Raw genomic sequence first — 27740 nt, 5'->3', positions numbered from 1 at the left:
TTAAGTGTGCAAAGATTTTATTAGGAGAAACACCTGTGTGCAAGAAAATGGGGAAAAAGCTAGAGAAGGGTGAGATTGCTGCTGAGAGAGAGAGAACAAAGCCTCAGTGACCCATAAAATATCACATTGTCTAATGCATATATAATTGGAGCCCCAAAGAGAGAAGGAGAGTCAGAACAAACATCTGAAAAACGAACGGCTGAAATTTACCCAAATTTGAGGAAAACTATAAATCCACAGAACCAAGAAGCACAAACCCCAATCAAGAAGTAATTGTGAAAAACCACACCAAACCCATCAATCAAACTGCTGAAAAACAATGAAAAAGAGACAAGTTTAAAAGCAGCCAAAGAAAAAAGATACATTATATACAATGGAACAAAGATAAAAATTGAAACAGAGGCAGGCATGGTAGTGCAGGCATGTAGTCCCAAATATGAGGCAGGAGATTGCTTGAGTCCAGGAGTTCTGGGCTGTTGTGCACTATGCCCATCAGGTTTCTGCACTAAGTTCAGCATCAGTATGGTGACCTTCTGGCAATGGGAGACTACTAGGTTGCCTAAGGAGGAACGAACTGGCCCAGGTTGGAAATGAGCAGGTCAAAATCCCATGCTGATCAGCAGTAGTATTGCACCTGTGAATAGTCAATGGCATTTCAGCCTGGGCTACATAGCAAGACCCTCTTCTCTAAAATAAATAAATAGATAATTAATTAAGCAGACTTTTTGTCAGAGATCATACAAATCAGAAGACAAACGAATGGCATCTTCAAAGATCTGAAAGAAAAATCTGTCAGACTAGAACTCTAAATCTAGTGAAAATATTTTTCAAAAATACAAAGAGAATAAAGACTTTTTTTAACATAGACAAAAAAACTGAGAGGCTATCACCAGCAGAACCTACGCTACAAAAATGTTAAAGGAGATGGGGTTGGCAAGATGGCCGAATAGGAACAGCTCCAGTCTGCAGCTCCCAGCAAGATCAACACAGAAGGTGTGTGATTTCTGCATTTCCAGCCAAGGTACCTGGCTCATCTCATTGGGACTGGTTAGACAGCAGGTGCAGCCCACAGAAGGCGAGCTGAAGCAGGGTGGGGCATCACCTCATCCAAGAAGCACAAGAGGTCAAGGAACTCCCTCGCCTAGCCAAGGGAAGCCATGAGAGACAGTGCCTTGAGGAATGGTGCATTCTGGCCCAGATACTATGCTTTTCCCATGGTCTTCGAAACCTGCAAACCAGGAGATTCCCTTGGGTGCCTACACCACCAGGGCCCTGGGTTTCAAGCACAAAACTGGGTGGCCATTTGGGCAGACATTGAGCTAGCTGTAATTTGCTGTTGTTTTTTTTTTTTTCATACCCCAATGGTGCCTGGAACACTAACGAGAAAGAACAATTCACTCCCCTGGAAAGGGGCTGAAGCCAGAGAGCCAAGTGGTCTAGCTCAGCAGGTCCCACCCCCACGGAGCCCAGCAAGCTAAGATCCACTGGCTTGAAATTCTCGCTGCCAGCACAGCAGTCTAAAGTTGACCTGGGACACTCAAGCTTGGTGGGAGGAGGGGTGTCCACCATTACTGAGGCTTGAGTAGACATTTTTCCCCTCACATTGTAAACAAAGCCACCAGGAATTTCAAACTGGGTGGAGCCCACTGCAGCTCGGCAAAGCCGCTGTAGGCAGACTGCCTCTCTAGATTCCTCGTCTCTGGGCAGGGCATCTCTGAAAAAAAGGCAGCAGCCCCAGTCAGGGGCTTATAGATAAAACTCCCATCTCCCTGGGACAGAGCACCTGGGGGAAGGGGTGGCTGTGGGAGCAGCTTCAGCAGACAAACTTTCCTGCCTGCTGGCTCTGAAGACAGCAGTGGATCTCCCAGCTCAGCGCTCGGGTTCTGCTAAGGGACAGACTGCCTTTTCAAGTGGGTCCCTTACCCCTGTGTATCCTGACTGGAAGACACCTCCCAATAGGGGCCGATAGACACCTCATACAGGAGAGTTCTGGCTGGCATCTGGCAGGTGCCCCTCTGGGACAAAGCTTCCAAAGGAAAGAACAGGCAGCAATCTTTGCTGTTCTGCAGCTTCCACTGGTGATGCCCAGGCAAACAGGATCTGAAGTGGACCTCCAGCAAACTCCAGCAGACCTGCAGCAGAGAGGCCTGACTGTTAGAAGGAAAACTAACAAACAGAAAGGAATAGCATCAACATCAACAAAAAGGACATCCAAACAGAAACCCCATCTGAAGGTAACCAATATCAAAGACCAAAGGTAGATAAATCCATGAAGATGAGGAAAAACCAGTGCAGAAAGGCTGAAAATTCCAAAAACCAGAATGTCTCTTCTTCAAAGGATCACAACTCCTCGCCAGCAAGGGAACAAAACTGGACAGACAATGAGTTTGACGAATTGGCAGAAGTAGGCTTCAGAATAATAACAAACTCCTTGGAGCTAAAGGAGCACGTTCTAACCCAGTGCAAGGAAGCTAAGAACATTGAAAAAAGGTTAGAGGAATCACTAACTAGAATAACCAGTTTGAAGAACATAAATGACCTGATGGAGCTGATAAACACAGCACAAGAACTTCATGAAGCATACATAAGTATCAATAACTGAATCAATCAAGCAGAAGAAAGGGTATCAGAGATTGAAGATCAACTTAATGAAATAAAGCATGAAGACAAGATTAGAGAAAAAAGAATGAAAAGGAATGAACAAATCCTCCAAGAAATATGGGACTGTGTGAAAAGACCAAATTTACGTTGGATTGGTGTACCTAAAAGTGACGGGGAGAATGGAACCAAGTTGGAAAACACTCTTCAAGATATTGTCCAGGAGAACTTCCTCAACCTAGCAAGACAGGCCAGCATTCAAATTCAGGAAATACAGAGAACACCACAAAGATACTCCTCCAGAAGAGCAACCCCAAGACACTTAATTGTCAGATTTACCAAGGTTGAAATGAAGGGAAAAATGTTAAGGGCAGCCAGAGAGAAAAGTCGGGTTACCCACAAAGGGAAGCCCATCAGAATAACAGTGGATCTCTCTGAAGAACTGCAAGCCAGAAGAGAGCGGGGGCCAATATTCAACATTTTTGAAGAAAAGAATTTTCAACCCAGAATTTCATATCCAGCCAAACTAAGCTTCATAAGCGAAGGAGAAATAAAATTCTTTACAGACAAGCAAATGCTGAGAGATTTTGTCATAACCAGGCCTGCCTTACAAGGGCTCCTGAATGAAGCACTAAACATAGAAAGGAAAAACCAGTACCAGCCACTGCAAAAACATGCCAAATTGTAAAGACCATGGATGCAACAAAGAAACTGCATAAACTAACGGGAAAAATAACCAGCTAACATCATAATGACAGGAACAAATTGACACATAACAATATTAACCTTAAATGTAAATGGGCAAAATGCCCCAATTAAAAGACACAGACTGGCAAATTGGATAAAGAGTCAAGACCCATCAGTGTGCTATATTCAAGAGACCCATCTCACTTGCAAAGACATACATAGGCTCAAAATAAAGGGATGGAGGAAGATTTACCAAGCAAATGAAAAGCAAAAAAAGCAGGGGTTGCAATCCTAGTCTCTGATAAAACAGACTTTAAACCAACAAAGATCAGAAAAGACAAAGAAGGGCATTACATAATGGTAAAGGGATCAATGCAACAAGAAGAGCTAACCATCCTAAATATATATGCACCCAATACAGGAGCACACAGATTCATAAAACAAGTTCTTAGAGACCTACAAAGAGACTTAGACTCCCACACAATAATAGTGGGAGACTTTAACACCCCACTGTCAACATTAGACAGATCAACGAGACAGAAAATTAACAAGGATATTCAGCACTTTAACTCAGCTCTGGACCAAGCCAACCTAATAGACATCTACAGAACTCTCCACCCCAAATCAACAGAATGTACATTGTTCTCAGTGCCACATCACACTTATTCTAAAATTGACCACATAATTGGAAGTAAAACACTCCTCAGCAAATATAAAAGAATGGAAATCATAACAAACAGTCTCTCAGACCATAATGCAATCAAATTAGAACTCAAAATCAAGAAACTCACTCAAAACCACACAACTACATGGAAACTGAGCAGCCTGCCCCTGAATGACTACTGGGTACATAACAAAATTAAGGCAGAAATAAATAAGTTCTTTGAAACCAATGAGAACAAAGACACAATGTACCAGAATCTCTGTGACACAGCTAAAGCAGTGTTTAGAGGGAAATTTATAGCATTAAATGCCCACAGGAGAAAGCAGGAAAGATCTAAAATCAACATCCTAACATCACAATTAAAAGAACTAGAGAAGCAAGAGCAAACAAATTCAAAAGCTAGCAGAAGACAGGAAATAACTAAGATCAGAGGAGAACTGAAGGTGACAGAGACATGAAAAACTCTTCAGAAAATCAATAAATCCAGGAGCTGGTTTTTTGAAAAGATCAACAAAATAGACAGACTGCTAGCCAGAATAATAAAGAAGAAAAGAGAGAAGAACCAAATAGACACAATAAAAATGATAAAGAGGTTATCAACACTGATCCCACAGATACACAAACTACCATCATAGAATACTATAAACACCTCTATGTAAATAAAGTAGAAAATCTAGAAGAAATGTATAAATTCCTGGACACATACACCCTCCCAAGACTAAACAAGGAAGAAGCCAAATCCCTGAGTAGACCCATAAAAAGTTCTGAAATTCAGGCAGTAATTAGTAGCCTACCAACCAAAAAAGGCCCAGGACCAGAGGGATTCACAGCCAAGTTCTACCAGAGGTACAAAGAGGAGCTGGTACCATTCCTTCTGAAACTATTGCAAACAATAGAAAAAGAGGGACTCCTCCATAACTCATTTTATGAGGCCAGCGTCACTGTGATACCAAAACCTGGCAGAGACACAACAAAAAAAAGAAAATTTCAGGCCCATATCCCTAATGAACACCAATGCAAAAATCCTTAATAAAATACTGGCAAACCAAACCTAACAGCACATCAAAAAGCTTATCCACCATGATCAAGTGGGCTTCATCCCTGGGATGCAAGGCTGGTTCAATATACACAAATCAATAAACATAATCCATCACAGAAACAGAGCCAATGACAAAAACCACGATTATTTCAATAGATGCAGAAAAGGCCTTTGACAAAATTCAACAGGGCTTCCATGCTAAAAACTCTCAATAAACTAGGTATTGATGGGACGTATCCCAAGATAATAAGAGCTATTTATGACAAACCCACAGCCAATATCATACTGAATGAGCAAAAGCTGGAAGCATTCCCTTTGAAAACCAGCTCAAGACAAGGATGCCCTCTCTCACCACTCCTGTTCAACACAGTATTGGAAGTTCTGGCCAGGGCAATCAGCCAAGAGAAAGAAATAAAGCGTATTCAAATAGGAAGACAGGAAGTCAAATTGTCTCTGTTTACAGATGACACGATTGTATATTTAGAAAACTCCATTGTCTCAGCTCAAAATCTCCTTAAGCTGATAAGCAACTTCAGCAAAGTCTCAGGATACAAAATCAATGTGCAAAAATCACAAGCATTCCTATACACCAATAATAGACAAGCAGAGAGCCAAATCATGAGTGAACTCCCACTCATGATTGCTACAAAAAGAATAAAACACCTAGGAATACAACTTACAAGGGATGTGAAGGACCTCTTCAAGGAGAACTACAAACCACTTCTCAAGAAAATAAGAGAGGACACAAACGAATGGAAAAACATTCCATGCTCATGGATAGGAAGAATGAATATTGTGAAAATGGCCATACTGCCCAAAGTAATTTACAGATTAAATGCCAACCCCATCAAGCTACCATTGACTTTCTTCACAGAATTAGAAAGAAATACTTTAAATTTCATATGGAACCAAAAAAGAGCCCACATTGCCAAGATAATCCCAAGCAAAAAGATCATAGTTGGAGGCATCACACTACTGACTTCAAACTATACTACAAGGCTAGAGTAACAAAAACGCATGATACTGGTACTAAAACAGATATATAGACCAATGGAATAGAACAGAGGCCTCAGAAATAACACCACACATCTACAACCATCTGATCTTTGACAAATCTGAAAAAAACTAGCAATGGGGAAAGGATTCCCTATTTAATAAATGGTGTTGGGAAAACTGGCTAGTCATATGCAGAAAACTGAAACTGGACCTCTTCCTTATACTTTATACAAAAATTAACTCAAGATGGATTAAAGACTTAAACGTAAGATCCAAAACCATAAAAACCCTAGAAGAAAACCTAGGCAATACCATTCAGGACATAGGATGGGCAAAGACTTCATGACTAAAACACCAAAAGCAATGGCAACAAAAGCAAAAATTGACAAATGGGATCTAATAAAACTAAAGAGCTTCTGCACAGCAAAAGAAACTAGCATCAGAATGAACAGGCAACCTACAGAATTGCAATCTGTAATTGCAAAAAAATTTTGCAATCTATCCATCTGAGAAAGGGCTAATATCCAGAATCTAAAAAGAACTTAAACAAATTTACAAGAAAAAAATCCACAACTCCATCAAAAAGTGGGTGAAGGATATGAACAGACACTTTTCAAAAAAAAAGATATTTATGTGGTCAACAAATATATGAAAAAATGCTCATCATCACTGGTCTTTAGAGAAATGCAAATGAAAACCACAGTGAGATACCATCTCATGCCAGTTAGAACGGTGATCATTAAAAAGTCAGGAAACAACAGATGCTGGAGAGGATGTGGAGAAAAAGGAATGCTTTTACACTGTTGGTGGGAGTGTAAATTAGTTCAACCATTGTGGAAGACAGTGTGGCGATTCCTCAAATATCTAGAACCAGAAATACCATTAGATCCAGCAATCCCATTACTGAGTAATATCCAAAGGATTATAAATCATTCTACTACAAAGACACATGCACATGTATGTTTATTGCAGCACTGTTCACAATAGCAAAGACTTGGAACCAACCCAAATGCTCATCAATGATAGACTGGATAAAGAAAATGTGGCACATATACATCATGGAATACTATGCAGCCATAAAAACGAATGAGTTCATGTCCTTTGCAGGGACATGGATGAAGCTGGAAAGCATCATTTTCAGCAAACTAACACAAGAACAGAAAACCAAATACCACATGTTCTCACTCATAAGTGGGAGTTGAACAATGAGAACACATGGACACAGGGAGGGGAACATCACACACTGGGGCCTGTCAGGGGGTGGGGGACTAGGGGGAGGGATAGTATCAGGAAAAATACCTAATGTAGATGATAAGGCTACCTAATGTAGCCTCAGACACTAAGACCATAGTTCAAGCTACTATTTTCTTTCACTGGGATTACTGCAAGATCTCCTACTTGATCCCCCTGCATCTACTCTTTACCCCTAAAGTCTAATGTTGATGGGTGCAGCAAACCACCATGGCACGTGTATACTTATCTAACAAATCTGCACGTTCTGCACGTGTATCCCAGAACTTAAAGTATAATAAAAAAAAAAGTTAAAGGATATTTCATACCAAGAAAAGGAAGTTTCCAGAGTGAAGAAAAGTGATCCCAGAGGAAACTTGGATCTACACAAAGAAGAGTGCCAAAAAATGGAAAATGTGCGTAATAAAAAAAGACTTCTTTGTGTGTTGTTAGGCTTCTTTAAACTCTGTCCAAATAATTGGTGCCATTTCTGTCTCCCTACTAAACTCTTACTGATACAGCAGCCTATTTTTTTTTCTCTAATATATCCCATCAGCTCAGAGGGATTTGCAAACCACATCATATCAGTCATATCACTCTCTTCTGATGGCTTCTATTATTCTTTAGAAGAACTAAAAACCTACAAATATAAACTACTTTGTATTGATTACCTATTATAACCCAAGCACTGCTTTTCTTCCAGCATTATCCTTAAATTCCAATCCCCTTACCTTCTCTGATCTGACCCATGCAAGCCTCTCCAGCTTCACTGCTACCCTTGTCTACTTCCTGTCCTCTACCTCACACCAACCTGTTGGGTGTCTCAAACACCTGAAGTTTGTTTCCACTTCAGGATCCTTTTACCCTGGCTAGTTCTTCCCTGGAACATTCTTCATCCAGATATTTGACACTTCTTATTGATAGGATCTCTGCTTGAATATCATTCTGAGGGAGTTTCTCAACCTTTCTATCAAAATTAGCCACCCCCTTGTTTCTCCCCACCATCAACACCACCAACATTCCCCTTCCGTTCTATTTCCCTGCTCAATGTTTTTCAAAATGTCACTATTGGAAATTAAGTTATTTATTTATGTTCCTATTAGGTTTTAGGTTCTTTGGTAGGTTGAATGATGGCTCCTCAAAGATGCCCACTTCCTAATTCCTGTAACCTGTGAATGCATTGTCATACAGGGCAAAAAGACTTGGAAGATTAAGTGAAAGATCTTGAGATGATGCAATTATCCTAGATTATTTAGGTGAGCCCAATGTAATCACAACAATCTTTATAAGAGGGAGGCAGCAGGGCCACACTCACAGAAAGGGACATGGCGATGGAAGCAGAGGGACCTAAAAAGTGATGTGGTGCTGGAAGCAGGGGCTGGAGCAGGAGGTGGAAAGATGCACTTTGAAGATAGAGGAAGAAGCCATGTGCCAAGGACTGTAGGTGGCTTCTAGGACCTGGAAAAAGAAGAAAATTGATTCTCTCCTAGAACCTTCCAAAGAAACTAGCACAGCATATATACCTTGACTTTTGCCCAGTGAGACTAATTTTGGTCTTCTGGCCTTCAGAACTATAAGATAATAAATATGTATTGTTTTAAGCCATTATGTTTGTGACAATTTGTTACAGCAACAATAGTAATCTCATACCAGTTTCTACTCAGGAACAGAAGCTCCATTAAGGAGTCACATTATCTTTATTTATTTGATATCCTGTATCTAATATCATCAAATCAATCATATTCGCTCCTCCTTTGGAATATATCCCAAATCCAGTGACTTCTCAAGGCCTCGGACACTAAGACCATAGTCCAAGCTACTATTTTCTTTCACTAGGAGTACTGCCAGACCTCCTAATTGATCCCCCTGCATCTACTCTTGACCACTAAAGTCTATAGTCCACAGAGAAACCAGAGGAATCTTCTTTAAACATAAATCACAACATCACAGGTTCCTGCTGAAAACTCCAATGGCTTTTCTTATCACTCCAAGGAGAATCCAAAGTCCTTACTGGGGCTGCAAGGCCACACGCCATCTGCTCCTGGGATTCTCTCTGACCTCATCCCCAGGCATTCCACCGTATGCGCTCCCAATAAGGCAGTTCATGAATATTTGATGGATACATGACAGATTGGGACAAGGAGGCATTTCATGAATAATGCATCTCATGAATATTTGGTGGATATATAACAGAAAGGGAGTTCCAAGGAGAGGGAGGCCCATGATGGTCGAAGGTAGTCGGGGAGGATCCATGGAGGAAGCAGGGTCTGAATAATTTTTAACATGTGGATGAGAGAAGAAAAAGAGAAAGAGACATTCCAGGCAGTGAAAATGACCTGGATAAAGGCATAATTTCAAGGAAAACAAACTGATCCCTGTGGGACCCATGTACCAGGTCAGTGATGGCCTTTGACTCTTCTCAACTCTCTGAAAGTCACTTCTGTCCCCTTATGTCCCATATGTTGTGACTGTCAGAACTGGAACCAACATAAAGGTGTGATAAGAATTGTACATAGTAAGTGCTCCGTGTCACAGCCTCCAAGTGTTAAACCTTTATGACACGTTTTTATGTTAATAAATATAAAAATTTTCACTAGAAACAGGCCTAAATTGTTATTTCCTGTCAAGTAATATTAAAGCAGGATGTGTAGGTGTGTCTCCTCTTCTAAGCTCCAATACTGTGTGTCATATTCATCTTGCTATGCTCACAATACAGCATAGTGTGACATATATTGGTGAACAATTTTTGATTTAATGAATGAAGGCCCAGCTTTTGGTTCTTTAGAATCCCTAGATGTTTTACTGTTGTGTCATAAAAACACACTGAACACACACACACAACTTCAAGATGTTCTACTATAGCATGTATTATGACAAAGTATTAAGGACTAAGAATATGGACTAGCTGTATCAGGAATCATGGAAGTGCTCCAATAACAAAACAGCAGCAGCAACAACAATTTGTTAGTTGGGAATTGTGCTAAATGCTTTAGAAGTAATTTCTCATTTAATCTATAATAATTTTATCCTGAGGGAGATAGTATTGTTAATTCCATTCTATAGATAAGAAAATAGCAGCTAAGAGAGGGTACGTGACTTACGTAAGGTTGTAAGTGGCACAGGCAGGATTTGAACCTAGGACTGTGCTTCCAAGTGACCTCAGCTGATTAAAGTATGATGAGGCATTTTGACCCTATCCCAGGGTTTCACTGTGCGGCATGGGACTCAGCGGACATGCTTGCTTAAATGCAGATCACTGGGCCACTCTCCCAAAGATTTTGATTTAGTAGTACTGGCATGAGACCCAGGAATCTGCCTCGAAGATTCACATGCATCTCTGTACTGCTCACTGAATAGAGCAGGGAGTTATTCTTTTTTAGTTCAGCTATACAAATGGAAACAGCATCTTGTGGATGGACATGAATAAGATTAACTCAGAAAAACCCAAGACCAAAAAGATCAATTTGTGTCCCCACCAATGGTCTCAGCTGAACAATTCTGCAGGAGGCCAGCTTAATTAAACTACAACATGATGGCAAGAGCTAAGTGGTTAAAGAAAAATTACCAACATATCCTTTTCCTACCTAGTGTTTACTGTGCGGTACTAAAAGAAATCACAGTTTTCTCAACCTCTTCAAAGCAGAGGCTGGGGCTGGGCATAACAGCAGGTGCATTTATCAGTTGAGGTCAAGACAAACACAGGGATGGCATCAATTGGTGTGAACAATTTTCTTGGGTGATCTGGGCCAACCAGCCCAGTATTTGGGGATTAAGCACATAGGTTTTAGGGTTTGACCAACCCAAATTTCGTTTCTGGCTTCCTGAACAATCAGCTGTACTACCTTAAGCTGCTCAGCCTCTGTTTCTCCATATTTAGGATGAGGATACTAATAGAACCCATTTCATGAAGTGAGTATTCGATTCGAGAATGTCCGCAATCCACTTATTCCTGGTATGCAGCAAGTGCTCAACAAGTGGTCAGTTTGATTATCATAGTTATCATCTTCAAGTTCTTTTCTGCCTTAATTACCTACTCGATTTTGCTTATACAAAAAAGCCACTGTTAGGACTTCTTTTTTCTATTAATGTTTCCTGGAATGCATCCAGTGTTCTCCCCTATGATACATCCAGTATTCCATTCATGAGAAGTGACCTTCAGCCCTCAGCCTTGATGTGACAGCTGAGCTCTTCGAGTGGTCAATCTGCCCATACCTCCAAGTCCTAATGCCACTGCACTTAAAGCCTATGGCCTGCTTTGGGTTGTGTCAGAGACTTTCCTTACCCCTGGTTGTTATGCTGAGTGTGCAGAGCATAGTATATGCTCAAGAAAAACTTGTTGAGTGTAAATTCGTACGTAAAGCCCTGTATTTCAGGAATTACCCAGAGGCCCTGTGATTCCCATAATAGGAGATACATAAGAAAGTGGGATATTTTTCTTTCTAACTTTTATTTTAGGTTCAAGAATACACATGCAGGTTTGTTACATGGGTAAACTGCATGTTGCAGGGGTTTTGTCTCCCAGGTAATCAGCATAATACCCAATAGGAATACCGGATAGGTAGTTTTTCTATCCTCATTCTCCTCCCACTCTTCACCCTCAAGTAGGCTCCAGAGTCTGTTGTTCCCTTCTTTATGTCCATGCGTTCTCAATGTTTAGCTCCCACTTGTAAGTGATAGCATGTTGTATTTGGTTTTCTGTCCCTGCATTAGTTTCCTTAAAATCATGCCCTCCAGCTCCATCCATCTTGCTTCAAAGGATATGATTGCATGCTTTTTCGTGGCTGGATACTATTCCATGGTGCCAGTGTACCGCATTTTCTTTATCTAGTCCTCTGCTGATGGGCATCTAGGTTGATTTCTTGTCTCTGCTACTGTGGACAGTCCTGTGATGAACACATGCATGCATGTGTCTTTATGGTAGCAAGTGGGTTTCACTGGAACTTGATTGCTATGACTCTATAGAAATGATAGTAATATTTAATGCAGAGTAAGGGTAATTTGTGTCAATGTAAAGTCTGAACAAAATTGGGTCTTGGGTAAAATTTTTCAAAAAATATTTAAAATGTGTTCCCTGATGTTGGGACACCTACTCAGATGTCAGTAGGAGAAATGAGAGGTTGGCCTTGCTGGCCTTCACCTACTGGCCTTGGCTGTTACCCTGGTGCAGTATTTTGCCTGGGGTTTGAGATTCCTGACAATAAATTATTACCTGCCAGATGTCTCATAAAAATAAAAAATGATTTTATGAAGAAACCCAAGATCTCATCAGCCTTTTGAACGGACACCAAAGTCCTTTTAGCCCTTTTCCCTTATAAGGGAAAGCCACATAAGATGCAACCTTCTGAGTGGCCCCAATGTGGCAGCATTAAGAGTGTGGGCTCTGAAATCCAGCTGTAGTTTTCATTGCCTGTGTGAGCCTGGGCTGTTCACTTAATTTCCCAGCATCTCAGTTTCCACATCTGTAAAATCTGATGAATGAATGTAACATACTTACATATTGCATGGTAATGTTTGCTGTTATTCCTTGGCAGGCTGATACCCGCCTGTATCAGCCATGGTCCAGTTCCAGGAATAGGAAACCACTTCAGCTATTTTTAAGGAAAGAAAATGTAATGCATTGGAAGGGCTGGAGGAAGGACTCCAGGAGATGGCCTTGGAACTGCTGAGCTCAAGAGTAAGAAGCCACAGCTGAGATGCAGAGATCGGGAAGCGAGTGATCCCACCACTAGGAAGCCGAGGACCAGACAGAGCTGAGCTGGTCACCACAGCCACAAGAATGCCTTTCAGATCCATGAAGACAAGTCTGGACATGCTTCACAGGCCCGTCTGTGATGGCCCCAGCGGTCCCTGCCTTCAGGTGTCCACGCCCTTGTGTAGCCTCCTCCCACATGGTACCAGGGATGGTCTGTGTGAGCAACAGAATACAGCAGAAGTGAGGGTGTGCCACTTATAAGACTGGGTTTCAGAAGACACTGTGACTTCTATCTCAGTAAGGGACTCATAGTCTGTTTCTCTCCCAGGTCTTTTGTTCTGGGGGAAACCGGTTGCCTTGTCTTGAGGACACTCAGGCGGCCCTGGGGAGAAGCCCACGTGGTGAGGAACTGAGGCCTCCTGCCAACAACCGTGTGAGTAAGCGTGGAGGCAGCTTCTCCAGCTGACAGCTGACTACAGCCTCGTGAGAGGCCCTGGGCCAGAACCACCCAGTTAAGCTGCTCCCAGACTGCTGACCCACAGAACCAGGGGAGAGAAGAAATGTTTACTATAGTGAGCTGCTGACTTCTGGAGCAATTTGTTACTCAGCAATAGATAAATAATACAGCATCTAACTGGGAAGACTTAATTCGCCTCCCAATCCTGGCAGCAGGGAATGTGAGGCATAGATTTTAGCCTTCCAGTGCTGCGGCGCAGAGCAGTCCATGAGGAGGAGGGGCTGGCTGCTGAATGGTCTAATCCACAGAACGTGCCACACCATTTTCTACCAGGGAGGCTGACGTGGATAGTGTTTTTAAGAAGCAAGGGATCTGATAACCAACATATTCCAGAGAACTCCCTCTTGCCAGAATCTTGTCCGCCTTCATTCACCATTACAAATGAAGTCCTTCTTTTTTTGTGATGATTGGCATTCACCAACAGTTTGCCTCTTTCCCTCGATGACACAGAGAGAAGAGAATTCTTTCTGTATCACATAGAGCTTTCACAAAGAATGTCTCAGGATTCTCTGCTAAGCAGAACCCTTTCCTCTTAGGGGCTTACAGTGAAGTGCAAACACTGTAGCAACATAAAGAAACCTGTGCAAGACAACAGCCTGGGACATGAAGCCCTGCTTGGAGGCTAGTAGCAGACCCATTTGACCGGACCCACTTTGGCTATTGTTGAACAATTCTTGAGCAGTTTCAGCGACCCTCTGCCCACACCACCTGAGGTGGATCCTGAAGGGATCCAAATTACCCTATTTAAAGGGGAAATTGTTTTCCTTGGTGATTCTCAGAAGTACACGAAGGAAAAGTCTATGCTTTATAAAAGCTAATGCATGGCCTTTGCAAGTTCCCACACAAGGAAGTAACTGAGGCAGGTGCTAGTTGCAACAACAGAGACATGTGTGCCTTTGTTTTCCAGAAACCACGAGAGCCATTTAACAGGGAAAGGGTGTACTGGGACTGGACCTTGGCTTGGGGGACCAAGGCAGGGCTCCGTATGGAGGCAGTAAGACAGGTAATTCTCAGAGGGTTAGTGTGGAGATCATTAGTAGCTTTTCTCTGAGAAATTAACAGAAGGGGCAAGAGTGTGAAAATGTCCCAGGGTAGATGCTGTCCGTGAGTGAGAGTGCTGAATAGCCAATGATTTATTAAGTGACCTTTAGAAGAGTTAAGCAGGGTGACAAGCGCATTTAATTTGCACTTAGGGCTTGTGTTTCTTTAAACATGGAGTATTACTAGAGGAACTTTTCTTATCTAAAAAACTATATGGTTTGGGAAAAGTAAAGATAAGTAAATATTATATAATTTTCTGACTCTCTTAGTTTTTTTTATAACTACAAAAAGCTTAGCCCAAATCTACCCTGGACACAGTTATCAGTTTATCAGGTGGCTCTCTGTCCCTGACTAGTGTGTTCTGACTTCATTCAATACACACACACACACACACACATCAACACTCTAAACGGATCCTTGGGCTCAGAGTTTTGAATTGCTGAGCATCAGCTGGTGAGCAAACACTCTGAGATGTTCTGTGCTGTGCTTCTGCCAGTTCAGTTTCTGCAGTGTTGCTATCCTTAGGCTTCACATGGGGCCACTTCATTGTACTTGAACCCCATTCTGTCTTAAAGCTGGTGGAAAGTGGGAAATTTAGTTATTGGCCTCCTAAACTTAACATATTTGTGGCAAAGATGAAAATTATTGAGTGGTTCCAAAGCAGTGAATCCTAATCTTTCATCAGACACTTCTTGTGCTTAATCGAATTGATTCTGTGTTCAATTTGAAATCAAATAACAATATTAGAGAAGATTATTAAAAGTCAAAATATAAAAAGCAAGTATGGTAGGAGAATTTCTAATTTTTTGATCTTTGAAAGAGGAACATGATTTATAAAGTATAGCATTGTTAGAATCTCAGAACAAGAGGAATACCTTATATATAAATACTGGGACTAACAGGTGGACAACTCTCCAGAGACAGTTTTTTCATAGCCATGGCACAAATCGAAACTCCTCTGATGCTTTTCAGAGCTGAGAAACATCACTGAGATTAAAAATTATAATTTAGAGCAGACCTCGATGCATGATCATCAAGATGTCAAGCAAAAAACAGGCCTGGGCGCTGTTGACCTCCTTGTCTCTCTCTCTCTCACTCTCACTCACTCTTTCCCTCTCTCTCTCTCCCTTTAAAAATTCTAAAACACCTACTTCTTCAGTTACACATATACTCATTGATATGGGCTAGTTGGAGATGGAGACATTCACGTAGACATAGACATTGGTATACATATAAATATACATGTACATACAGTAAAGTCTTCTGCTCACTTTCTCCCATTCCAATCAGGGAAGTTATTTAATTGGTGAAATTTTAGAAGCTGTTGAATGATGGAACAATGGGCCAGGCACGGTGGCTCACGCCTGTAATCCTAGCACTTTGGGAGGCCAAGGCAGGAGGATCACTTGAGGTCAGGAGTTCGAAATCACCCTGGCCAACATGGTGAAACCCTGTTTGTACTAAAAATATTTTAAAAATTGGCCAGACATGGTGGCAGGTGCCTGTAATCCCAGCCACTTGGCAAGCTGAGACAGCAGAATCGCTGGAACCCAGGAGGCGGAGGTTGCAGTGAGCCAAGATCACGCCACTGCCCTCCAGCCTGGGCAACAAGAGCGAAACTCCATCTTGGAAAAAAAAATGATACAACAATGTAGCTTGTGGGTGGGAATAGGGAAATAATATTGCAAGCAAGGTCCAGAATAATGCTTGTGTCTATAATAGGGTCCCTTCTCTTTCTTGGCTCAGTTGAAGACTGCATTGGTATGCCTAAGATCTGCACACATCTGGAAGACAACCAGAGAACACAAGTCTTTTAGAAATTCATGAGGCCTTAGAGACTGATATGGCCTGCCCTCTCCCTGTCTCCCATTAGCTCTTGTTTTTTAATAATAATAGAAACTCAGTGTTTGTGCCCTTTGATGTGAAATTTCTTGCTGTGGTCATCTTGATTAAGGGAAGGATGCTATACACACACGATTTAATGTACAAAGATGTTCATCCTGGCCTCATTTACAGTGACAAACAATAAAGATAAAAGTAAACAACCTAAGAGTCTCCAGTAGATTCAGGGATGCTCATGAATCATTCATGTTATTTTAGGCGCTTCTGGTTCTAAGATAAACTCAGACCAGTGGGAATCGGGGAGTTATATTAAAATGTCCTTGGGGTTGTAGGTGTAACAACAAAGAACAGGAGCTGGGCTTGGCCAGGCCCCAGGAGAACAGGAGCTTGTCCAAGGCAGTCCCAGGGGCTTTAGGGGCATGAAATTAAGGCTCATCACCATACTGTTCTGTCATTAATGAGTACTAGCGACTCTTTCCCTCTCTGTTTCAATCCCAACTTCCTGAGTAAAACTGACTTCCTTATCTACCACCTGGAATCTCTTCTCTCCACCTCACAGCTTCTGCTTTTCTTGATGATAGTTTTAACTTATTTATGCTATTCATCGTTTTTGGTTCCTTATGACTTTGACTTGCTGTGACCCATCATGATGTCACTGGTACTTTCATTTAAACTTTAACTCTCGTTGGTAAATAACAGGTTTCATGTTTCCATTTAATATTTCTAAAATTAATAGTCCAGTGAGTAGTAACCACCACTGTTAGGGCTGAGCCTCTAGGTGCCAGTAATTACCATAGGGTGCTGCTAAGCCTATGGGTTGCCTGCCCTTCTGTGAGCCATCCCTAGGGAAGGGATGGGTTATTAAAGAAACATCACTGCATATCGTACCTCTTCAATATGAACTGTGGCTGAGAAGCTTCCCTTATAAGGGACTCTAGGCATATGCAGGCACCATAATTAGCATCTCTAGTGTACAAACTAATATAGAAATACGAAAGCATGACAATTGCCCACATGTACTTCTAGTCGTGAGTAAATTTGTACAACTTTTCAAGAGGGTAATTTGGCAGTATATATCAAATGACTTGAATGTTCAAAGACTTCACCCAATAATTCTGCTTCTAAGGTTTTATCCCAAGGAAGGAATCAGAGATGAACACAAAGATCTACAAGTAAGGATCTTCATCAGAAAATTATTTATATTAGGAAAGATGTTTTAAAAGGAGATGAATTAAGCTATGTTTTATGTATACATAGATATATATATGTATACACACACCCATATGCAATAGAGTTAAGTTTTTTTATTTTTATAGATTTGGGGGTACTGTATCATGCAGTTTTGATACATGGATATACTGCATAGTGGTGAGGTCAGTGCTTTTAGTGTAAGCATTATTTTAGTAGTGTACATTGCACCCATTGGGTAATTTCTCATCCCTCACCTCCTTCCCACCTTCCTACCCTTCTGAGTCTCCAATGTCTATTATCAATCTATATGTCCTTGTCTAGCTCCCATTTATAAGTGAGAACATGTGGTATTTGACTTTCTGTTTCTGAATTTTTTCACTTAAGATAATGGCCTCCAGTCCCACCAATGTTACAAAAGACACAATTTCAGTTTTTATGGCTAAGTAGTATTCCATGGTATGTGTATGTGTTTGTGTATGTATATATATAAATATATATGTGTGTGTGTATTTTATGGTATGTGTATGTGTGTGTTTGTGTGTGTGCAATAAGTGCCCATTGATGGGCACTTAAGTTGATTCCATATCTTTTTATGCAATAGAATATTATACAGTTATTAAAGTGGTTGTATATGGTATAGACAAATATGTAATATGTCAGAGGGATGTTCAAGCTATAAAGCAAAAAAATAGATTGAAACAATAACATTAGAATCTTAGAAAACATTCCCTAATTTTATTTATAAACACACACAGTAAAACTGGAGAGCTGTGTAACAAAATTTTAGTCATGGTTATTTCTAAAGAGAGATAATGTATAATTTTTCCATAATGTTCTCTTACGACTAGCCATTATTTTTTTAATCAGAAAGAATTTACCTTTAACATCAGTGTTTACTAGAAGTTTCTGATAATGCTGATTTCACAATGTTAAGTGAAAATGAGAACACAAAATTCAACATCGCACTTGGTTACCACTATATTAAGTGGAGCAAAAATACAAGAAACACACTTCAGGGTGGGGACATCTATCTCTGGGTACTGAGACTACAGGAGACTCTCTTCTTTCTACATTACTATATTTTCTATAATTTTCTGAAATGGGCATATGTTAATTTAAATCTTTTTTTTATGTAAGAGAATTTGAGGATCAGAAAGATTAAAGGCTTTATCCAAGGCCACAGCTGTTAGACAGACTGGGATGGCAGAGCAGGTAGTGGATACTGTAGTGTGTTGCCCAGAACTCCTCCAGGAATGAATGACTATTCCCCCAGCTTCTGGAAGTGCTGCCAGATGACAGCCCTCAGATGTCAAAGCGCCTAAGCTAAAACGAGCCTCCTTCTTCAACAAAGTTACTCACCCTTTCCAGGGTGGCTCACACCCAATGATGGAGGGTCACAAAAGACTCCAGCAGGGATGGCACTAAAGGTTTTTCCAGCTCTAGAGCTCCTAGTGGGGGCTGTCAGCTGGGGCCTTAGTTGGAGCTGCATCATAGCTTGACTTCTTCCTCTGCCCAGTTCTGCCTCCTTCCTCCTGCTTCCCTAGGTATGACTCCTCAGAACACTTCCTAATAAACATCTTACATGATACTCTCCATCTCAGAGTCTGCCTCCCAGGGAACCCATGTGACAGTTGGTGCCAGATATCGTCCGAGAAAGCAGACATAAGATAGGTTATTGGAGCTGGTCACCTACCAGCAAACTGATGATGAAAACCCCATTGCTAGTGGGAAGTGGAGGCCAGAGAGCTGCTGGCCCAAGATGAAAGGACAATTGTTGGAAATTCAACCAGTGGTGAGACAGGATTGCACATCAGTGGTAGGGAATACATTAGCTGGTGCAATGCAGCAGGCATCTGAGAAATATGAGAGAAATTATTACTATGATATAAGGACAACAGAATTGGGTGGCTACTACTGAAACTGACTGACTTCTGGAAAAAGAAAACAAAAAGCTGAGTGTGATTAACCAGCAACTAAGAGATAGTTTTGAAAGCTAGAGGACTTCCTGGAAGCCTATAAAAAGGCTCAAATCTCCTGAAGTGGGAGGGCAGAGAAGGCTGTACACCAGACAAAGAACTTCATCTGGAGAGCAGCTGAGTTTCAGAGAGGGTCACACTTTTAACAAGGTAAGGTTGCTGTGCCAGGGCCAGGGCCGTGCATGGGAGAGAATGGAACCCTGACACACACAATGACGGCATCTGGGTAGATGTTTCTGAAGACCTTGAAGGCCCAGATTAGGCTGACAGAAGTGGACTCTCCCTACCAACCCCTTACTTGAAGACGGTACAGAGGTGTCTCCCCACAAAGCATGTGCCCCCGCCTCAGGATCCAACCCCTGTTGCCCACTGGCCACAAGTCCTAGAACTAGGGGTGAGTCACAACATAACCCAGCCAGGGCCATGCTGGGCCTGAAAAGGGGTAAAGGGACTGTGCCTTGAAGGAGTTGCAGGACCCAGCCAGGTGGTGCAGCAAGACAGGAAAGGGTATGGGTGGGCTGGGTCCTGAGGGTGCTGGATGGGAGGCAGAGCATGAGGTTTGGAACATGGTCCTTGGCCTATGGGGTAACAGCTACCAGGAAATGTTATTGGTTTGGAAATAATCAGTAATGGAAAATGCCAAGGAAATGTTATTGATTTGGGTGTACTCTTTCTGGATTCAGGATGGAACACCCAGGTAAGAATCCCAGGTGTAGATATACTATGAGGATGGCCCCAAATAACGTGGGATAGTGACAGCTGCACTGGGTGAGGCGGATATGCCAGAATTTCAGCAGCAGAAGGTGGAGGAAGGGAAGAAAGGCTCAGAGGCATGTGCATGCTCAAGTGTATTGCTCCATGAGGCTGGGAAACCCAGCAGTGGGATGCATTCCATGGAAAAGACCAGGGGACACAGTGTTCACCAAGCGCTAAGGGACGTGCTGGGGAGAGGGCACCAGCTTCACTCAGGAGGCCGGTGGTGGCTCTGCAGGAGACGCTGCCCCAGAGCTGGGCTCAATGAAGGGTAGAGGGACGCACTACCTACCACTGACAGGTAGAGGGACCTTGAAGCACCCAAGGACACTTCACAGCGTGACCCCATCTGTGGGAGACAATCATCACAGCGAGTGGCAAGAAGCTGGGGCCTGACCCACAGGGAGTGAGGGAAAGAATTTATAAAACACAGTGCCCTGCGGGGCAAAATAAATGGGCAGCCAGTAAGGATAGCATTGCATCTGTGCAGTCAAAGAAATCAAGGTGGGTGGACTGGAGGCCAAGAGCTGTGCCCCCGAAACCATCCTTTCTGATCCACATTTTGGATCCAGAACCCACTGACTGAAGGAGAGTCTGGGTTCCCAGAAGGAAGGGAGGGAGGGCAGGAGGAGGGAGGGCAGTGCCTGCAACACCATGGCAAGTAAACATGGTAATGATTCATCCAGTCTTCCTCAAAGGGACATTTACTTGGATAACTGTACACTGAGGAAAGGCAAGTACCCAAACATTTTGAAAACTGCTGGACACAGAGTCTAAGCTGACATCATAGAGACACAAAGCAATGCTGCCCTCTACCCTAGATTCAGAACATATGGGGACCATGTAATAAATGGAGTCTTGGCCCAGGTCCTGCTCATAGTGGATCCACTGGGCCCATAGACCCCTCCTGGCAGTCATTTCCCTGGTCTTTGAACATATACTTGGGATAGACAGACTTGACAGGTGCCCAGGACCCACACACTGTGTCCTTGCTCTGTGGGGTAAGAGCTACCATAGTGGAAAAAGCCAACTGGAAGCCTCTGAACATACTGCCCCTCTGCCAGCACAGAAGTACCTAGGGGCTGGCAAACTTCTGTACAGGGCCAGACAACAAATATTTTAGGCTTTTCAAGCCAAGAAGCAACATCTTCAACTCCTCAAGCAACCGCCCTCCTCCCCCAAAAGGCTAATCATCTTTTTTATACTTAAAAATCTAAAAACCATTCTTAGTTCACAGACTGTGCAATATCCAACAGGCTGAAGACATTATGGTATGGTCTCTGTCGAGTTCACCATTCTTAGAGAAGGCCTGAAATGTCCAAGGGGGCTGTGAGGTCTCTCAGGAAGAAGAAGTGAAATGTAATTTTCCTTTGGGTCAGGAAGTTCCTAGGACTGTAGATTGTCAAATCCTGGGCACATATGAGGTTTATTTACTTTTTTTTCAAAACTAAGAAACTAGTTCCAAACAGAATAAACTTCGATCAAATGTTTTTAGCCTGGGAGTCCGGCTCCCCGACTATATTGCATCCAAAGCTCTCTCTCTCTCTCTCTCTCTCTGTGTGTGTGTGTGTGTGTGTGTGTGTGTGTGTGTGTGTGTGTGTGTATGTGTGTGTGTGTTTCCCTGCAAGAGGGCCCGAGTATCATTTTCTTCACAAATTCAAAGACTTTGCAAGAACCACCATTGTGGGGTGCTGTGCCTGACCACAGCCCAGGCCCCAGGCCCTGCTGGCTGGAGGATTGATGCTGCCTGGCTTCCCTGGTGAGAACTCACCATTAACAAAAGACCTCTGGGCTGCCACCAGTTCCAGAGGGGCTTCAGGTGTCCGAGAAATGCAGGGGAAAAGCTGCCCCAATCAATAGGCTGAATGGTTCAATAACTCATTTTGCTGCTGAGGCAGTAAAATAAATAAATAAGAACCTGGCTGGAAGTTGAAACTGTCTGTGTTCAGTGCTTCTCGGAGGCCAAGTTGATGGGCTTTAATAGCTTCGGTCGGCACAGAACACAGGCAGACTGTCCCAGCAGTGTGCCCTCGGTTTCCTAGGTAACCAAACTTGAAATAAGATGATGGCTCAAACTGGGTACCAAATCAATTTGTTGGAGGTACAAATGTGGGGAAGGCGAACTTCACATAAAACTGCAGACTGCAGCATCCACGCTGATGATCGTGTCAGTGCGTGGGTATCTACCGCTCATTACCTCCCACCCTAGAGGAAGGGACGCCACCAGCCTCTTCCTCCCGACCCTGGAGTAAAAAAAAAAAAAAAAAAAAATCCACAAGTTCCAATTGTGCTGTCATGATCAATAGGATGCTTCTTTCCAGGCTGCCTGTCAGGGGAGGATAGGATAAAAAGAACCAGAGAAAGCTGTGCATAGGCAAAGCTCTTTTGTGTTACAAGACTTAGCAGTGGGGCTCTGCCTAAAGCAAGGATCTGAGAACTGCTGTGCAAATCTAGGGTGTAAAGAGATTGTTCCAGGGCTTTCTCCCTAGGGAAGAAAATCCCTAAGTACTACAGTTGGCCAACAAGCAATTCTCAGCCTTCACCTGGCTTCAGTCTCAGGGAATTACACCAGTTGCCATTTTGGCTCTATCAAGGGTATATCCTTCCCCAGTGTCTTGCACACTCCAATCCTAACACCCATCACACTATATTGTAATTGCCTAATAATCCTTTGTGCCATCTATTCAGCTAACACCATACATAGTAAATGACAACAGCTCACAGCATGTTTGGTGAATGAATGGACTTCGATGGAGACAGTGGTGATAAATCCCTCAGTTCATGCAGAATCCTTGGGGTTTGAATCCTCTTGTCACATCCTCCTTCGCACCTCAAGTCTTTACTTCCCAAACTTAAGAAGGACAGCAACACCTCCTGCCATCCCCAAACCCCTAGGACCCCAAGGAAAAATCATTTCCCCCAAGTCTGACACATAACTGGCGCTTAATCAATGCTTGCCAATTAAGCTGCGTTGATTATCGTGCAAAGTTATCTCACATTATTTTAGCATCAGCTTTGGGCTTCTACCTTTTCATTGTCAATTTAATAATTCAAGAGACTTTTATCGAGTGTATCAGTCAGGATAGGTGGGCATCAGCAAACCTTCTCTCTGTAGGGCCAAATAGTACAATTTTCTACTTTCTAGACCATGCAGCATCTGTCACAACTGTTCATTGCTGTCATTGCTGTGTGAAAGCAGGTGTAGACAATATATAAGTGAATGGGTATGGCTGTGTCCCAATAAAACTTCATTTGCAAAAACAAGTGAATGACCAGATTTGACCCATGGGCCATAGTTTGCCAACCCATAAGCTAGGATAGGCTATAGCAACAAACACCACCAAAATCTCGGAGGCTGAACACACTGAGAGGCTATTTCTCCCTCATGCAACATGCCCATCATGGGTTGGTGGTGGGGAGGGAGGTCTTCTCCACAAAATTACCACAACATCTTATGACAGAGCCATCTCTATGTGAGGCTTCAGTGTTCCCCATGGCAGGAAAGGGAAGGGCCAATAAGGCAAGTTCTGGCAAATAAACGCCTTATCCCAGAAGGCACACACATCACGTCTATCCTCATGTCATCGTCTAGAACCCATCACCCCACCTGTCCTGAATTCAAGGGCATGCAGAACTGTAATCCAAAGTTAGAAGAGAACTGAACATTGGCAAATTAAGTCATGTCTACGATGTTGAGAATCAGTCATGAGCAAAGCCCTGATCCAATGCTGGGCATCAGTCATGAGCAAAGCCCTGATCCAATGCTGGGCATCAGTCATGAGCAAAGCCTTGATCAGGAGAAGAAAGTAGCTAAGAGGAGGCCCCTGCTTAATAGGCAGGCATCCAGCCCAGTGACCAAGACAGACACACCTGCAGAAAAAGCTGCTGCAAGCAAGTGGGTTAGGAGGGTGAGGGTCTATACTCCCCTTAGCCATAAACTCCATAACCAGTCCGAAGAATGACAATAAGGATAAGTACACAACACATGACAAGGATATCAGGCAAGAATCCCAATTCTTTGCACATTCGATGGGCAGTGAAAATCTGGATGACTTGTGATTGGGCACCCACACCTCCAGACTATTTCTAGATTGAGGGATATTGGGCCTATTGGGTATGGGGTGAGAAAGAGCAGAGAGAAGAAAGCAAACACAGCCTTCCCATGTGTAAAGTAATGATGTAAATTTTTAAAATAAGTTACTGGAAAATAGTAGAAGCCTATCAAGGACAGATGTTCCTTCCACTCAAGCAGCCTTTATGCCACATCAGCAACAGACACCAGTGGATCCTCATTTTGAACACTCAACTGTGACTTTGGGAGGAAAATGCTGGTCAAATTCACTTACAAAGTAGGGAAAGCCTGGAATTTGAAAAGCCTGGAGAGAGCCTGGCAGTGAACAGTAAAGAAAAGAGACACACGCACGTGACCCATCGTGCCCTCGTCCAGCTCTGCCTACAAGCTTGGCATGGCCTGAGGGCCCCTGGCCAGCCTGATACAAAGAGAACTCACAGGTCAGAAGTTGGCACAGGGCTTAGAGGAATGGTTTACCTGCTTAATGAAACAATTCATTTTGTCAGTTCCCAAGAATACTTACCTTCTCCCCAGAGACTTCCAAGAATTAATTAATACTAAAGGCTTGTCAGGCCCTTTGCCAATATTAAGGATTTGTTTAATCTGAAAGGCCAGTGTAAGCACAAATAGACGAGTTTGGCTTTATTTTATAATACTCCATCTGACGACAAGCAAAGTGACCTTGCCATATGGAAATACAAGGAAGAGAGCCCTTCCTACAAAAAAGTACCACGCCAGACCACGGTGGCTCACGCCTGTAATCTCAGCACTTTGGGAGGCTGAGGCAGGCAGATCACGAGGTCAAGAGATCAAGACCATCCTGACAAACATGGTAAAACCTCATCTTTACTAAAAATACAAAAAAATTAGCCAGCCATGGTGGCGTGTGCCTGTAGTCCCAGCTACCCGGGAGGCTGAGACAGGAGAATTGCTTGGACCCAGGAGGCGGAGGTTGCAGTGAGCCAAGATCGCACCACTGCCCTCCAGCCTGGCAACAGAGCGAGACTCCAAAAAAAAAAAAAAAAAAAAAGGAAAAAAAAAAGACTGCCGTGGAAGGCAGGCAATATGATATATGGGAAAGTTCTGTACCTTCTAACCAATTTTGCTGTAAACCTAAAACTGCTCTTAAAAGTAAAGTCTATTACCAAAAAAATGGCTGCAAATTCTTTGACATTCCTCCCATCGAGAGTTTGGGTGGAGGGAGGGGTCTGTATCCCCTCCTGTTAAATCTGAGTGGGCTTGAGACTGTGGGACTTCCAGGGTTAGCTCAGGAAAGGCAATGCTGCTTCCTCTTTGTTTGCTGGGACACTTGCCTTTAGAGCCTTAAGCCATAGTGTATGAAGTCTGACTGCTCTGAGGCCACCATGCTGTGTAGAAGCCCAGGCCACCTGGAGAGGCCACGTATGGGTGTTCCAGCTGCAGCCACAGCTGAGGTCCCAGCTGACAGCCAGTATCATCTACTGGACACATGGATGCCTCCAGGTGATTCCGGTCATATTGAGTCAACCCCCGGTGTTCATGCACCCAGTCAAGGCCCCAGACGTGGAGCAGAGCCAAGCTGTCCCTGATGTGTTCTATCCAAATTCCTGACCCACAGAATTTGGGAGCATAATAAAACAGTTGCTTTATGCAACTATGGTCATAGTGATTTGTTACACGTTGATAGTAACTTAAATGTGAAGGCTGCATAGAATCACGGTTAATAAGGAATCCAGAACCCATCTGCTTGACTCCCCCATTTACCACCACCTCCGCAACCTGGTGCAAGGTATTTCAACTCTTGTGCCTCAATTTTCTCATTGGTAAATTGTAGGTACTATTAGTGCCTACCTAATATGGGTTACTGTGAATATTCAGTGATTCAGAAAGTGCTTAAAACACTGCGTGGTACCCAGTAAACGCTCCATAAAGATTTGCTGTTCTATTCCAAAGCCTTTCCTGACCACTGTAGCCCATGGTGATGTCTTCTCTTATTCAATCCCTCATCGGGCACCACTCACCTTTCCCCAGGGACGACTGTTGGGTTGTCTAAGAATGTCTTCTCTCCCTGGCCTGACTGCTGGGGTCTTCAGGGCAGGGAACAGCATGCATCTGGCATCTCAACAGCTGTGGGCACAGAGCTTTGCACAGAATGGATGTTCTAAAGTATATGTTGAAGAAGAAAAACACAAGGCACAGACAGGCACATGAATGGCTCTCATTGGTTCAGTGCCAACGACAGCTCGGGAGGGCTGGTAACTCTCCATCCTCAGTGTGCTCTGCCTAAGATAATCCTCCTCCCTGGCACTTCTCTTCTATTATGCTCTTCATCCGCTCTCTTATGTTCCAGTCTTTTTGGAAGATTTTGGTTCAATGAGTTCCTTTCACGCTCAGTGTCAAAAGTACCTTGTTGCATTTCCTGATAAACAGTTGTTTGGACATATGGAAATTCCTAGCATTGCTCAAAGTTGACACGAGTATGGGAAATAGTCATTACCTCATCCTGCTAGCATGAGAGTTCCTGGATGCAGGTATTTTTGAAAGTAAATTGGCCTGGAGGAGCCAAGATGGCCGAATAGGAACAGCTCCGGTCTACAGCTCCCAGCGTGAGCGACGCAGAAGACGGTGATTTCTGCATTTCCATCTGAGGTACCGGGTTCATCTCACTAGGGAGTGCCAGAGAGCGGGCGCAGGTCAGTGGGTGCGCGCACCGTGTGCGAGCCGAAGCAGGGCGAGGCACTGCCTCACTCGGGAAGCGCAAGGGGTCAGGGAGTTCCCTTTCCGAGTCAAAGAAAGGGGTGACGGACGGCACCTGGAAAATCGGGTCACTCCCACCCGAATACTGCGCTTTTCCGACGGGCTTAAAAAACGGCGCACCGCCTGTAGTCCCAGCTACTCGGGAGGCTGAGGCAGGAGAATGGCGTGAACCCGGGAAGCGGAGCTTGCAGTGAGCCGAGATTGCGCCACTGCAGTCCGCAGTCCGGCCTGGGCGACAGAGCGAGACTCCGTCTCAAAAAAAAACAAACAAAAAAAAAAACAAAACAAAAAAAAACAGCGCACCACGAGATTATATCCGGCACCTGGCTCGGAGGGTCCTACGCCCACGGAGTCTCGCTGATTGCTAGCACAGCAGTCTGAGATCAAACTGCAAGGCGGCAGCGAGGCTGGGGGAGGGGCGCCCGCCATTGCCCAGGCTTACTTAGGTAAACAAAGCAGCCGGGAAGCTCGAACTGGGCGGAGCCCACCACAGCTCAAGGAGGCCTGCCTGCCTCTGTAGGCTCCACCTCTGGGGGCAGGGCACAGACAAACAAAAAGACAGCAGTAACCTGTGCAGACTTAAATGTCCCTGTCTGACAGCTTTGAAGAGAGCACTGGTTCTCCCAGCACGCAGCTGGAGATCTGAGAACGGGCAGACTGCCTCCTCAAGTGGGTCCCTGACCCCTGACCCCCGAGCAGCCTAACT

At 43.4% G+C, this 27740-nt stretch overlaps 1 long non-coding RNA gene and 1 pseudogene across 1 annotated transcript, besides 2 other annotated features; one reads left to right on the top strand and one right to left on the bottom strand.

Annotated features, from left to right (window-relative positions):
* Positions 1-27678, bottom strand: LOC107986516 (uncharacterized). The gene is made up of 2 exons (XR_007059427.1): positions 26299-27678; positions 1-2132 (listed from the first exon to the last, which is right to left on the bottom strand). It is a non-coding gene; the product is annotated as an uncharacterized LOC107986516 (long non-coding RNA).
* On the top strand, positions 402-682 carry RN7SL221P (RNA, 7SL, cytoplasmic 221, pseudogene; annotated as a pseudogene).
* Positions 12519-13718: an enhancer, noted in NCBI's record as "MED14-independent group 3 enhancer chr6:5905761-5906960 (GRCh37/hg19 assembly coordinates)". NCBI's record gives its function as "activates an origin of replication core promoter dependent on BRD2, BRD4, P300/CBP and CDK7 cofactors, and independent of MED14, by STARR-seq in HCT116 cells {active_cell/tissue: HCT116}" and the evidence as "EXISTENCE:reporter gene assay evidence [ECO:0000049][PMID:35650434]".
* Positions 27111-27740: an enhancer, noted in NCBI's record as "OCT4-NANOG-H3K27ac-H3K4me1 hESC enhancer chr6:5891739-5892368 (GRCh37/hg19 assembly coordinates)". NCBI's record gives its function as "activates a minimal SCP1, AML or CMV promoter by ChIP-STARR-seq in naive H9 embryonic stem cells {active_cell/tissue: H9 hESC(naive)}" and the evidence as "EXISTENCE:reporter gene assay evidence [ECO:0000049][PMID:30033119]".

The sequence above is a fragment of the Homo sapiens genome, chromosome 6 (assembly GCF_000001405.40).
Source record: "Homo sapiens chromosome 6, GRCh38.p14 Primary Assembly".
Taxonomy (NCBI): domain Eukaryota; kingdom Metazoa; phylum Chordata; class Mammalia; order Primates; family Hominidae; genus Homo; species Homo sapiens.
The sequence above is the reverse complement of the archived record's forward strand: the minus strand, read 5'-3'. Positions and strand labels throughout refer to the sequence as shown.